At 35.9% G+C, this 14,283-nt stretch overlaps 1 long non-coding RNA gene across 6 annotated transcripts in view; it reads left to right on the plus strand.

Moving 5' to 3' along the window:
* LOC102723370 (uncharacterized) overlaps positions 1–14,283 on the plus strand; it is a 366,694-nt gene that overhangs the window by 199,856 nt on the left and 152,555 nt on the right. Inside the window, exon 2 of one of the 6 annotated variants that reach the window (XR_007062617.1) lies at positions 8,280–8,366. The exons of the other annotated variants lie outside the window; for them this stretch is intronic. This is a non-coding gene — a long non-coding RNA (uncharacterized LOC102723370). The remainder of the gene's footprint in view (positions 1–8,279; positions 8,367–14,283) is intronic. 6 annotated transcript variants of the gene reach the window in all.

A 14,283-nucleotide genomic window follows, 5' to 3' on the forward strand; every position in this document is an offset into this window, starting at 1 on the left:
AAACTTGCTTGCTTCAGATGAGACTCAGCACATTCCCAGATACAGTGGCTATGGAGTGAAACTCTTTCCACTTGAGAAAGGTGTAGGAAAAATTTAAGGAGACTTTGTCTTATACCTTAGGTACCAGCTTGGCTATAGGGGCATAAGAGCACCAAGTGGGCTCTTAGGGTCCCTGATTCTAGGACTTGGCTTTTGGACATTTCTGGACCTGCCCTAGGCCAGAGGGGAGCTCATTGCCCTGAAGGGTGAGTGCTAGGTCAGGCAGCATTCACAAGCTTACTGGAGAGCCCTTGGGACTTAAGAGAACATTGGTAGTAGTCTGACATTACCTCCTGTGGCCTGTGGAAGTGGTGGCCATGGAGTGAAGCTCCTCTGCCTTTGGAAAGGGGAAGGAAGAGTGGGAAGGATGGCATCTTTTGGTTTGAATGCCAGCTCAAATTCAGTACAATAGAATACTAGGTGGACTTCTAAGGTTTTTGACTATAGTTTATGGCTCACAGCTGCCACCTCTGGACCTGCCTAGAGCCTAGCAGACCTCATCACCCTGAAGGGAAGGACACAGGCCTGGATGGCTTTGCCACCTGCTGATTATAGAGCCCCAAGTCCTGAAGTAAACATAGGTCATAGACAAGCAATGGTTACAGTAAGCACTGGGCAAGACCCAGGGTTATGCTGGCTTTACATCTCATCCAGTACAGTCCTAGTGGTTGTGGCCATGGGGGTGCTTGTGTCACCCCACCCTCTGCTCCAGGTGGCTCAGAACAGAGAGAGGGGCTTTGTTTGGGAGAAAATAAGGGAAGAGAACAAGAATCTCTACCTGGTAATCCAGAGAAGTCTTCCAGATCTTGCCCAAGATCGTCAAGGCAATACATGTAGAAGTTTGCAAGAACCACAGTGTAGTGAGCTTGGGGTTTCCCCTAAAACAGATGCAGCTTAGATCACAACACCCAAGTCCTTTTGAGTATCTAGAAAGCCTTTCCCAGAAGGATGAGTACAAACAAGCCCAGATTGAGAAGACTACAATAAATACCTAACCCTTCAAGGTCCAGACACTAAAGGACATCTACAAGTATCAAGACCATCCAGAAAACACGACCTCACCAAAAGCACTAAATAAGACCCCAGAGACCAATCCAGGGGAACCAGAGATATGTGACCTTTCAGACAGAAAATTCAAAATAATGATTTTGAGGAAAACAAAAAACTGTAAGATAACACAGATAAGGAATTCAGAATTATATGAGACAAATTTAACAAAGATATTAAAATAATTTAAAAGATCAAGCAGAAATGCTGGAGCTGAAAATGCAACTGGAATATTGAAGAATGCATCAGAGACTTAATAGCAGATTTAATCAAGCAGAAGAAAGAATTAGTGAACTTGAAGACAGGCTACTTGAAAATATACACGGTCTAAGAAGACAAAAGAAAAAGAATAAAAAACAATGAAGGACACCTACAAGATCTAGAAAATAGCTTCAAAAAAGGCAAATCTAAGAGGTTTTGAACATAAAGAAGAGGTAGAGAAGGAGATAGATATAGAAAGTTTATTCAAAGAGATAATAACAGAGAACTTCCCAAACATAGAGAAAGATATCGATATCCAAGTACAAGAAGGTTATAGAATACCAAGAAGATTTAACCCAAATAAGACTACCTCAAGGCATTTAGCAATCAAACTCCCAAAGGTCAACGATAAAGAAAGGATCCTAAAAGCATCAAGAGGAAGGACACAAATAATATACAGCAGAGCTTCAATATGTCTGGCAGCAGATTCCTCACTGGAAACCTTACAGGCCAGGAGAGAGTTGCATGACATATTTAAAGTGCTGAAGAAATAAAAATTCTTACCTCAGAATAGCATATCCAGTGAAACTATCCTTCAAACATGAAAGAGAAATGAAGACTTTCCCAGAAAAACAAAGGCTGAGGGGTTTCATCAATATCAGACCTGTCTCAGAAGAAATGCTAAAGGGAGTGCTTCAATCAGAAGGAAAAGCACAGTAAAGAACAATAAGAAATCACCTGAAAGTGCTAAACTCACTGGTAATAGTAAGTTCACAAAAGAACACAGAATATTATAACACTGTAACTCTGATGTGTAAACTACTCTTGTCTTAAGTAGAAAGGCTTAATGAACCAATCAAATGTAATAAGTACAACAACTTTTCAAGAAATACACAGTACAATGAGATATAAATAGGAAAAAAACAAAAAGTTAAAAAGCGGACGGATAAAATTAGGGCATGGAGTCTTTATTTGTTTCCTTTTTGCTTATTTGTGTGTTTGTATTGCAAACAGTGTTGTTATTAGCTGCAAATAATGGGTTATAATATTCTATTTGCAAGCTTCAAAGCAAAGGTTACTATTTGTAACCTTAAAGCAAAAACCATGTAACAGATACACACACAAAAAAGCAAGAAATTTAATTATATCACCAGGCAAAATCACCTTCACAAAAGGAAGATGGGAAGGAAGAAAGAGAAGGCCACAAAACAACAAGAAAACAGATAACAAAATGGAAAGAATAAGTCCTAACTAATCAATAACATCATTGGGTGTAAATGGGCTGCACTCTCCACTCAAAAGACACGGAGTGGCTGAATGGACAAAAAAAAAAAAAAAGAAGACCCAGTGATCTGTTACCTACAAAGAACATACTTCACATACAGATGGAAAATAAAGAGATGGAAAAACTTATTCCATGCCAATAAAACTGAAAAGAACAGGAGTAGTATACTTTTATATCAGACAAAATAGATTTCAAGACAAAAACTATAAGAAGAGACAAAGAAAGTCACTATATAATAATAAAGAGGTCAATGCAGCAAGAGGATATAATCATTTAAAATTTATAGGTACATAACATTGGAGGACCAAGATATATAAAGAAAATATTATTAGAGCTAAAGAGAGAAATAGGCCCTAATACAATGATATCTGGAGACCTCAACACCCAACTTTCAACAATGCAAAGATCTTTCAGACAGAAAACTAGCAAAGAGAATAGTGGACTTAATCTACACTATATAACAAATTGACCTAAAAGATATTTACAGAACATTTCGTCTAACAGCTATATATGAGAATAGACTATATATTAAGTCACAAAACAAGTCTCAAAACATTTTTTAAGTGGAAATAACATTAAGCTCCTTCTCTGATTATAATGGAATAAAACTATAAATCAATAACAAGAAGAATTTTGGAAAAATATAAATACATGGAAATTAAACAATATGCTCCTGAATGACCAGTGGATCAGTGAAGAAATTAAGAAGGAAACTGAAAAATTTCTTGAAACAAATGACAATGGAAGCACAACATACCAAGACCTATGAGATACAACAAAAGCAGTACTAAGAGGAAAGTTTATAGCTATAAAGGTTTACATCAAAAAAGAAGAAAAAATTCAGATAGAAACCTAATGCTGCAACTTAAGGAACTATAAATACAAGAGCAAATCAAACTCAAAATAAGTAGAAGAAAAGAAATAATAAAGATCAGAGTAAAAATAAATACGATCAAAATGAAGAAAGTTATAGGAAAGATCAATGGTATGAAAAGTTGTTTTTTTGAAGTTAACAAAAATTAACAAACCTTTTAACAAACCTTTAGCCAGAAAATGAAGAAAAAAAAGATCAAAATAAATACAATCAGAGATGAAAAAGGAGACACGATAACTGATGTTACAGAAATTCAAAGATTGTTTAGTGGCTACTGTGAGCAACTACATGTAAATAAATAGAAAACTCCAAAAGAAATGGACAAATCCCCAAACACATACAACCTACCAAGATTGAACCATGAAGAAATTCAAAACCCTCGCAGACCAATAACAAGTAATGAGATCTAAGCCATAATAACAAGTCTCCCAGTAAAGAAAAGTCTGGGACCTGATGACTTCACTGCTGAATTCTACCAAACATTTAAAGAAATCCTACTTAAACTATTCCAAAAAATATAGAAGAAAGAAATAGTCCAAACTCATTCTGGAAGGCCAGTATTACCCTGGTACCAAAACCACATAAAGACACATCAAAAAAAGAAAACTATAGGCTAATATATTTGATGAATATTGATTGAAAAATTCTTAATAAAGTACTAACAATCTGAATTCAATAATGAAATAAAAAGATCATTCATTATGACCAAGTGGGATTTATCCCTGGGATGCAAGTGTGGTTCAACATATGCAAATCAATCAATGTGATACTTCATATCAACAAAAAGAAAAAAAATGATCATTTCAATTGATACTGAAAGTGTTTTATAAAATTCAACATCCCTTCATGATAAAAAAAAACTCAAAAAACAGGATAAAACAAACATACTTCAACATAATAAAAGCCATATATGACAGATCACAGCTAGTATCATACTGAAGAGGAAAAAACTGAAAACATTTCCTCTAAGACCTGAAATATGACAGGATGCTCACTTTCATAACTGATATTCAACACATTACTGGAGATCCTAACTAGAGCAATCAGACAACAAAAAGAAATAAAGGGCATCCAGCTTGGGAAAGAAGTCAAATTATGCTTGTTTGGAGATGACATGACGTTAGATTTGAAAATGACATGATGTTATATTTGGAAAAACCTAAAAACTCCACAAGAATCTATTAGAACTGATAAGCAAATTCAGTAAAGTTGCAGAATAAAAAGTCAACATACAATAATCAGTAGCATTTCTACATGCTGACAGTGAGCAATCTGAAAAAAAATTTTAAAGGTAATCCCATTTACAATAGCCACAAATAAAATTAAATATCTAGAAACTAACCAAACAAATGAAATATCTCTACAATGAAAACTATAAGACACTCATAAACAAAATCGAAGAGGACACCAAAGAATGGAAGGATATTTCATGTTCATGGATTGGAAGAATCAATATTGTTAAAATGTACATACTACCCAAAGCAATCTACATATTCAATGCCATTTTTATCAAAATACCAATGACATTCTACACAGAAACAGAAAAAAAAAATCCCAGAATAGCCAAAGATAGCCTAAACAAAAAGAACAAAACTGAAGGAATCACATTACCTGACTTCAAATTATACTATAGAGCAATAGTAACCTAAACAGTGTGGTACTGTTACAAATACAAATACATAGACCAATGAAATGTAATAGAGAACCCAGAAGAAACCCCACACACTCACAGGAGATTCATTTTCAACAAAGGTGAAAAGAACATATTGAAGAGTCTCTTCAATAAATGGTGTTAAGAAAAGTGGATATCCACATGCAGAAGAAAGGAACTAGGCCTCTATCTCTTGCCATACAAAAATCAAATCAAAATGGATTAAATACTTAAATATAAGATCTCAAACTGTGAAACTACTACAAGAAAACATTGCGGAAATTATCCAGGACACGGTCCGGACAAAAATTTCTTGAATAATACGCCACAAGCACAGGCAACCAAAGCAAAAACTGGACAAATGGGATCATGTCAAGTTGAAAACCTACTGCACAGCAAATGAAACAATCAACAAAGTGAAGTGACAGTCCGCAGAATTGGATAAAACATTTGCAAACTACCCATCAGACAAAGAATTGATAACCAGAATATATAAGGAGCTCAACCAACTCTATAGGAAAAAATCTAATAATTTATTATAAAAAAAATGGGCAAACGATTTGAATACACATTTCTCAAAAAAAAAAGACATACAAATGACAAACAGTCATATGAAAATGTGCTCAACATCATTGTTCATCAGAGAAATACAAATCAACACTACAAGATATCATCTCACCCCAGTTAAAATGGCTTGTATACAAAGGACAGGTAATAAATGCTGATAAGGATGTGGAGAAAAGGAAACCCTCCTACACTCTTGGTAGGAATTTAAACTAACACAACCACTACAGAGAATGGTTTGGAGCCTCCTCAAAAATCTAAAAATAGAGCTACTTTAAGATCCAGCAATCCCACTGCTAGGTATACACCCAAAAGAAAGAAAGTCAGTATATCAAAGAGATATCTGCGCTCTCATGTATGTTGTAGCCGTGTTTCAATAGTCAAAAGTTAGAAGCAAACTAAGTATCCATTAACAGATAAATGGATAAAGAACATGTAGTACTTATACACAATGGAGTACTATTCAGCCGTAATGAATAATACATGGATGAAACCGGAGGTCGTTATTCTAAGTGAAATAAGCCAGGCACAGAAAGACAAACATTACATGTTTTCACTTATTTGTGGAATCTAAAAATCAAAGCAATTGAACTCATGGAGACTGAGAGAAGAAGGATGATTACCAAGGGATGGGAAGGGCAGTTGGGGGTATCATGGGAAGGTGGACATGGTTAATGGGTACAGAAAGGATAGAAAGAATGAACAAGGCTAGTATTTGATTGCACACAGGGTGGGTATAACCAATAATAATTTAATTGTACATTTAAAAATATCTAAGAGTATAATTGAATGGTTTGTAACACAAAGGATAAATGCTTGAGGAAATGGATACCTCATTTTCCATGATGTAATTATTACACATTGCATGCTTATTTTAAAATATCTCATGTACCCCATAAATACAAATACCTACTATGTAAAGACCAAAATTAAAATTAAAAACTAAACAAAATAAAATGAGAGATATGTGTTTCTTCCCTTCACTTGAACATTTAGAGGTGTACTTTCAATATTTTTGTATCTCAGGGAATAGGGAAGCCCAAAGAGAGGGAGAGAGTTGGAGAAATAGCTTTTCAGTGGAGCAGTCATAAAACATCCAATACTTACTGATTAAGTTCATTGTCTTATGTGGGAGCAGTTAGTGGTGCCTCAAAACAATTAGAATAGTAACATCAAAGATCACTGCTCATAGATCACTGTACCAGATATAATGATGAAAATCTTTGAAATATTGTGAGAACTATTAAAATGTGACACAAAGACACAAAGTGAGCACGTGTTGGAAAAATGGTGACAATAGCCTTGTTAGACATAGGGTTGCCCCAAATCTTTGATTTGTAAAATAAAAAACACTATCTCAGAAGTACAATAAAATGAGGTATACCTGTTAATAACAGTTCACCGTGATAAATGCTATGTTAGATCAAGTCCATGATGCTGAGGGTAAAAAGGAGGTAAAGAAAGGTCTTCTGAAAAATTATTCTAAGTTGAGTCATTATCTAGCAATGAGTCATTATCTAGCAATGAGAGTGAAGAAGGTTTGCTGGGACCTTGAAAATGGTCCAGTATGTCTCATGAGACCAAGATGAGAGAATAAAGGGATAGAAGTAAATAGAGTTTGTCTTTCAAAGAAGTTCTGAGATCCACTCATGGCATGATATTAAGCTCTCTGTGTATATGTATATTATGAACAACAAAATAAAACATGGCATCAATTAAGGACAGTAGAAAATGTTTGGTTCAGCTATAAAGATGGTGTATACATTTTTCTGAATGTCAATTTTATAGCTGAGAATTAATGCAAAAACATGTTCATTGATGGAAAACATAAACTTTAATTCCTTTTTCACGGATTAGATACTAAGGTGGGAGACATCCTTAGGTAACAGAGAAGTAATGTTCCCATTTCACAAGTGAGGAAATTGAAAGATAAAGTTCAGATAGGTTAAATCTTGATATTCACAATTAAAACCAGAATTAAAATTTACTAATGTCAGATAAGCATGTCTAGCAACAAATGACATGCTGCAATTATCACTTGGCATGCACTCAAGAAGAGCTAGGCTCTTGCTCTAACTTGATTTGATATTTAGGCAAATGGCTACCTAGTCTTGAAATGATAAGGAAGGTCCATTTTATTTCTAACCTTCGTAGATTCTTAAATATTTTACTTTCAAGTACAAATAATTTTACTTTGTACCTACCAATTTTAGAAAAATGTAAATTATAGAATATTCTACTATGTTTAATTGAAAGTATGCCAACCTGTTAAATAGGTCAGTCTAAGCTTTTTCTGTATAAGCTTTAAGATTTCTAATTGCACCATGGTACTAAAGATTCGATGACATGAAGTATTGTTGAGTACAGAACTGTTCCCAAGCAAATGTCTAAGCGGTTGTTACAGGGAACTTCTTCATGTTCCCTATGGCTATTTTCTATTTGCTTCCACCTCAGTATTTTCACCTGTGGATGCTGTGGTTCTAGACGGAAAGTGTTAGAAAACCTACATGTAAGTGTTCCCTAGACTTCAGCAGACATCATCTTATCTGGGAGAAGTTTATATAAATCTTGAAACACTTAACAATTGAAGATTTCTATGTTAATTTTTTCTACTCTAGGCACAAATTTCCTCCTTATAAAAGTGACCATGTGACTTGGATGCTTGTGTTTATTGAGCACTTACTATAGGCCTTTCATCTCTCCAGGTACGTTCCCTATATTATCTAATTTGATTCTTATAACATCCTTATAATTACTCTTACTATATTTCTAATATCTATTTAACAAATAAAAATATTGGAGGTGGGGGTAACATAGAGACACTAATCAACTTGCCCAAAATTGTACACCTAGTAAACTATTCAGTCAAAATTCAAATCTAAACTATCTGATTCAGGAAACTGGCTTCAGGTTTTTTTCTAGTTGTGAAGATACTCCACACTTTGTGAAGTAATGTAGTGTTTACAAAACATTCTCATTCTTTTCTGTCTCTGGAACTGAAACAAATCATCCAAGGTTATTAGAACAGTTATTCAGATCTTCACTTTAGAGAAATAGCTAAGTCTCCGAAGGATGATTGATTTAAGCTCTTAGAGCCAGAATCCTCTAGGTTCACTGATTCATTTACTCTTTCTAGAAGAAGGTATTTCCCCTGCTACACATGTTATATTTTTGCAAGGGAAGTAAAATAGGAATGGAAACACATCCCAAACACCATTCCCAACTATTTCTCTTAGCTTTTTAGGAGCTAAAATTTGGTTAAGGAAATTACCAGATGACAGCACTTTTATGTTGAAAAATGCAACCATAGCTGAAAAGAACTGTTGTGAGTCCAAGAGAACAAATACATTCAATGGGAAATGTGGTAACCATACTTGGGTTATTCTCACCACATACCCTACGTGAGGAGACAAGTTTGTAAAATCAAGGAGTTTGACAGTATAGCAAATCAGGACTAACAACAGCATAAGCAAGAAGCAGGATGATGTGTGCAGAATATATTAAATACCTACCAACCTAGGCTAGTTACTCAAAGCCATATAATTCCAAATGTTTTGTCAGAAGATAAATCAGTAGGCTTGAACTACTCCACACAGGGTGTGCTGTGTAACAAAATCAAAATCGTAAATCTGTTAAAGTTTTTCGGGTACCTGAATGAGGGAAATGTTTCCTGAAGGCATCTGAGAGAAAGTTGGCACAGTATGGGAGAAAATACCCAAGATCAGAAAGCAAGGGACTCTGATTCCAATTACTGCTTTTGATTTCATTTGTGATGACGTTTTACAAAAGCCTTTTAACCTTGTCATTATCGCTTATCACTTGGGAATTATATATCTGTCCTGCTTGGTTTGACAAGTTAATATGACATTCATGTGAGAAAGGAGTTGTGAAAGAAATTTGTAAGTTGGCTGGGCATGGTGGCTCATGCCTGTAATCCCAGCACTTTGGGAGGCTGAGGCAGGATTGCTTGAGTCTGGTCATTCAAGACCAGCCAAGAAAACATAGCAAGACCCCATGTCTACAAAAAATTTTTAAAATTAGCTGGGTATAAAGTGGCACACACCTGTGATCCTAACTACTTGGAGCCCAAGGCAAGAGGGTCACTTGGGCCTGGGAAGTTGAGGTTGCAGTGAGCCACTGCACTCCAGCTTGGTGACAGAGCTAGCCACTGTCTCAAAAAAAAAAAACAAAAAACAAAAAACAAAGAAGAAGAAGAAAAAAAAATTTAGCTATGTGTATGTAGGGTTAGGTGATATAAGCAATAAAAGGAATTGCTTTTAGATAGGTCAACTGTACACAATATATCTAGGAAGGCACATTTACTGACAGCTATTAAATCTAATGAAGAGGAAGCCATTAGCCAGAGGTTGTTTCTGTAATAAGAACTTCGAGATAAGCAAACCAAAACTCAATTCAATGTAAACAGTAAAACAAAACTTAATAATTCATAAACTGCAAACTAACCTCTAACTAGGGACTTTCCACCAGATAATACCCAAATAAGGCAAAGTCTAGGCGAAGTCTAGTTGTAGCCAGCCAAGTACTTTCTCTTCTTTTCTTCCATATTCCATCTTTAAAAGCTCACTGCACATGCTACAGAGGAGAGCACAGAGCTCTCTGAACTTCTTCTGGTTCTGAGTGCTGCCCAATATATATACATATACATATATATACACATATACATATATATTTATATATATATATACACACACACACATATATGTATATATAAATAAAGGAAATTCCTGGATGACTATATATATACATACATATATGTGTGTGTGTACCTATATAGGTATGTGTACATATATATAGTTTGTGTATATGTATATTTCTTTGTTCACATATACTCTATCAAATTTAATTTGTCTACAGTTTTTCTTTAAAGCAGCATATAATAAGCTTTGCACTATGTTAGGCACTTCTCAGTTTCCCTGATTGTCTGTCATTATCATTTTACTGATAAGAAAATTCAGTCTCCAAGAGGTTAACGATTTTTCTTAGGATTACACAGCTAGTAATCTGTAGCACAGAAATTCAAATCTATATGTAGTCTACCACAAAAGAAAAAAAAAGGAATGGAAGAGACAGATGAAAGAGTCAGAGAAACAGGTGAACTGGAAAAGTGCAGCATCATGATGGCATAGGGGTGGAGAGAAAGCTTTCCTCTTGGGCCGCTGAAGGTTCACTGAACCATCAACTCACAAAAGGCAGATTAATTGGAGAAAAAGCATCCAAATATATTTAACATGCAAATGGAGAGAATCAGAGTGATTACTCCATCCCCAAGAGGATTCAGAAGCACATAATCTTCTTGGCAAAACAGGTTACGGGACAGGGTAGGAAAGCAATTCTGTTGAGGGGAATACTAGAGAGAATGAGTGGATCAGGGAACAGAGATCAACTGTATTATCTTGTGAAAAGATCTGTTTAGGCGTGGTTACATTCTTGGTCTTACAGGGAGGAGAAGAAAAAAAAACAATTTTTCTCCCTTATGGGTCTGGATCTTAGGCAGATAAATGAACTTCAACTTCTTTGGGAGAAGTGGTTGGGGGAGAGGTCAGAGAGACCTTGAGGCATCTTCAGTTCAGCATGTCAAAATGCCATATTCTGGGGTAACATTTTGTGAACCCCAACAATGGACAGTGGATGAGAAGTTTTCAAGGAAGAAATAATTCGATGTTTGAGGCCTGGAGAGGTCACTTGAGACCTTTTGAGGTCCAGCTTCTATGAGTGTTATGATGACATATAATTCACATTTCAAGGCAGTAAGCTGCTGTTCATTCCCTAAAGAAACTAATTTGCTTCTGTTCTTCCACAGTGAGAAGCTGTACTCTTCTCCCTACAGACTACCTTCTTTATTATAACAGAGACTTTGTGAAATGTTCAGATGGATGATTCAGGGTGAAATCTGTGACCATTCTCAGGAAAACTATCTCATAGTACTTGTCCTGTGAAAAGAGGATGAGATACACCAAGTGCATTTTCTCCTCCTCCTCCTAATCCTCCTCCTACATTTTAGCATCATCATCATCATGAAAGCTGGAAAACTCCTCTAGTTTCCAGCAAATCATTTAGCCTTTCTCATCATATTGCCTCTATTTGTAAAATAAGATGGTTGGATCAGGCTATTTCTGCAGTCCTCCTCAGCTTTAAAATTTGAGAGAATTGTAAAATTAATCACAGTGAGCTCACTCTGTATAAGACACAGGGAAAAGAGCATGACTATAAATCATAATCCTTACCCTCAAGGGGCCTAAAACTAGAGTGAATCTGGAAAACTGGGAATCACAACAAAAATTAACAGAAAACATCACTAGGAAATACTAAAATCTTAATATGATCTTATATGATATTTAATAATATTTACCATTGAAGGTTAGATTGGGCTATTTACCTCTTTCCTTTATCAGATAACCCTTTACTTCACTACCTCTGCCCATATACTCTTTCATTTTCATTTTTCAAAATTATATTTTTGATTCAAAGCCCAAGCCTCAAATACCTTCTCCAAAAGGCTTCCTTCCCTCAACAAAAAGGATCTCACCATTCTTTATATTCCAGGTTTACTTTCTGATTTACCCGTACAGTATCATAGCCTGGAGGCTCCTGAGATGCATTCTTTTTTGGAAGGGGCCTGATTTTGAAGTCTGACTCAGCCACTGATTAGTGAGCAGGCTTTCCTAAATCTTCCTTTCCTCTCTAGTAAAGTAGGTCAGATCGTAATCTCTTCCTCACAGGACCATTGTGCAAATTAAAGGAGATAACGTGAATGGTTTGGTAGCAACTCAATGAATGTATCTGAATCCTCCCGTCAATTTACTCTGCTGTCCATTATAGTCAGTTATGTATCTGTTTTATCCTGTCTGGTCGAGAATGGAATCTGAGGACCAAAACTCCTCTCTTACTCATCTCTGTGCATTTTCCTCTTTGCCCCTGCCCCTTCCTCCAACCCAGTACCTAGCATGGTTTCTTCATTTATGTGTAAATTTTATCAAAGTGGTGTCAGTCTGTGCAAATCATCTGCTGAAGTCTGTTAAGAACGTTCAGCAATATACACTTCAACAGTAACAGGGACAGTGTGGAAAACCCTTGTTTTCTTCCTACTCTCCAATTCTTCTGCCTCTTTCCACTGCTTTGGAGAGGAGGTTACAATCAGAGTCATTTCACCATAAGAAAATCATCAATTTTCTAATGAAAACCCCCCTCCTTAAATATTCAGCCGTGGCACAATCCCTAAAGGAGAGAACACATTAATGCAATGCACTTGGCCAATTTGTGAGCCCTGACTTGTTGAGCACAGACTCTTCCCTGACCCTGGAAGACAATCGGCAGGACCCCTGAATAATGAAGTATGAATGCTCACCATTGTGCTATCTCTAGCTACACCAGCTTCTACCTAATCTTTTTTTTCCTTTTCATTGCTCTCCTTTGCAACTTCCTAAGGATTTGGCCATTTTCCACTGTGTCCAACCTACGAAGCTGTAAATACCTGACTGAGAAACACAAAATGTGTTTATAGGACTTCTGATGGCTTCTCATCTAAACCATAAATGTGAAATGCATTTCAACATTTCTCAGAAAACACCCCATCCCCCAGATTCAATTGGCAGCACAAATTTACTTCTCAGAAGACAGCACCAAAATCTCAACATTGGCATTTTGAATCAAGCACACACACGCAGCTGCATTGTGTTAACAAAAGTGAAACATTATTAGGTCGCATACTCTGAGTGACAATATCCTCGAATGATCATTTCTGTGAGAAATTAAGCTATGAGAAATTCAATTTGGTAGCATTTGGGCATTACAGACAGCTAGTCTGTTTATATCAGCAAGGCTTTGATGTTAAGACTCTGTAACTGCAGCCACAGGAAAAGCAGACTGAATACAGGGTGGATAAGGTCACAGATATAAAAATCAGATAGAGTTCTGTTCTATTATCTACATAGTGTGTACTTTGGGAAGTTACTTAATATTTCTAAGCCTCAGTTTCCTCATAAAAATAAAAATGGCAAGCAATATGAAAACTATCTAATAGAATATTTGTGACACTAAATTGTAATAATGTATATAAATCACTTAGCCTAGTATGTGGCATTTATTAACACTCAAGCAAAAGTGTAATTTTTTAAAAAAAGACTCTTATATCCCTTACATGACAGAAATATTAAGACCAAAATGGTTACTGAGCCCTCAAAGGTATTATCTCATTCTGGCTGAGCTATCTGGACCTGGAGAAAAGTCTAGAAAGACTCTATTTCACTCCAAGTTTCTTGACCCTATCTTTATTTTTTATCTTCTATCCACTAGGACCTGTGATCAGGCCAGGATTAACCAGTGTTCTCTAGGATTAACGTTTTTGGCAGCTGGGGATGATTGCCTAAGATAATTGTTTTTGTGTCTGCCTCTCCTGCTAGAATGCAAACTCTCAAGGGCAGGACATATGTCTTTCTTTATCCTACCTGTTAGTGATCAACAGGAGAAGGCCACTGCTTAACTGTTAGTGTCAGGTCAGCTCCAAGCTGGTACTTCTTAGGAACTCTTTTCTTTTCTTTTTCTTTTTCCTTCCTTCCTTCCATTTCTTTCTCTTTCTTCCTTCCTTCCTTCTGTGATAACTAA

The sequence above is a fragment of the Homo sapiens genome, chromosome 11, assembly GCF_000001405.40.
Source record: "Homo sapiens chromosome 11, GRCh38.p14 Primary Assembly".
In the NCBI taxonomy this organism is placed as follows: domain Eukaryota; kingdom Metazoa; phylum Chordata; class Mammalia; order Primates; family Hominidae; genus Homo; species Homo sapiens.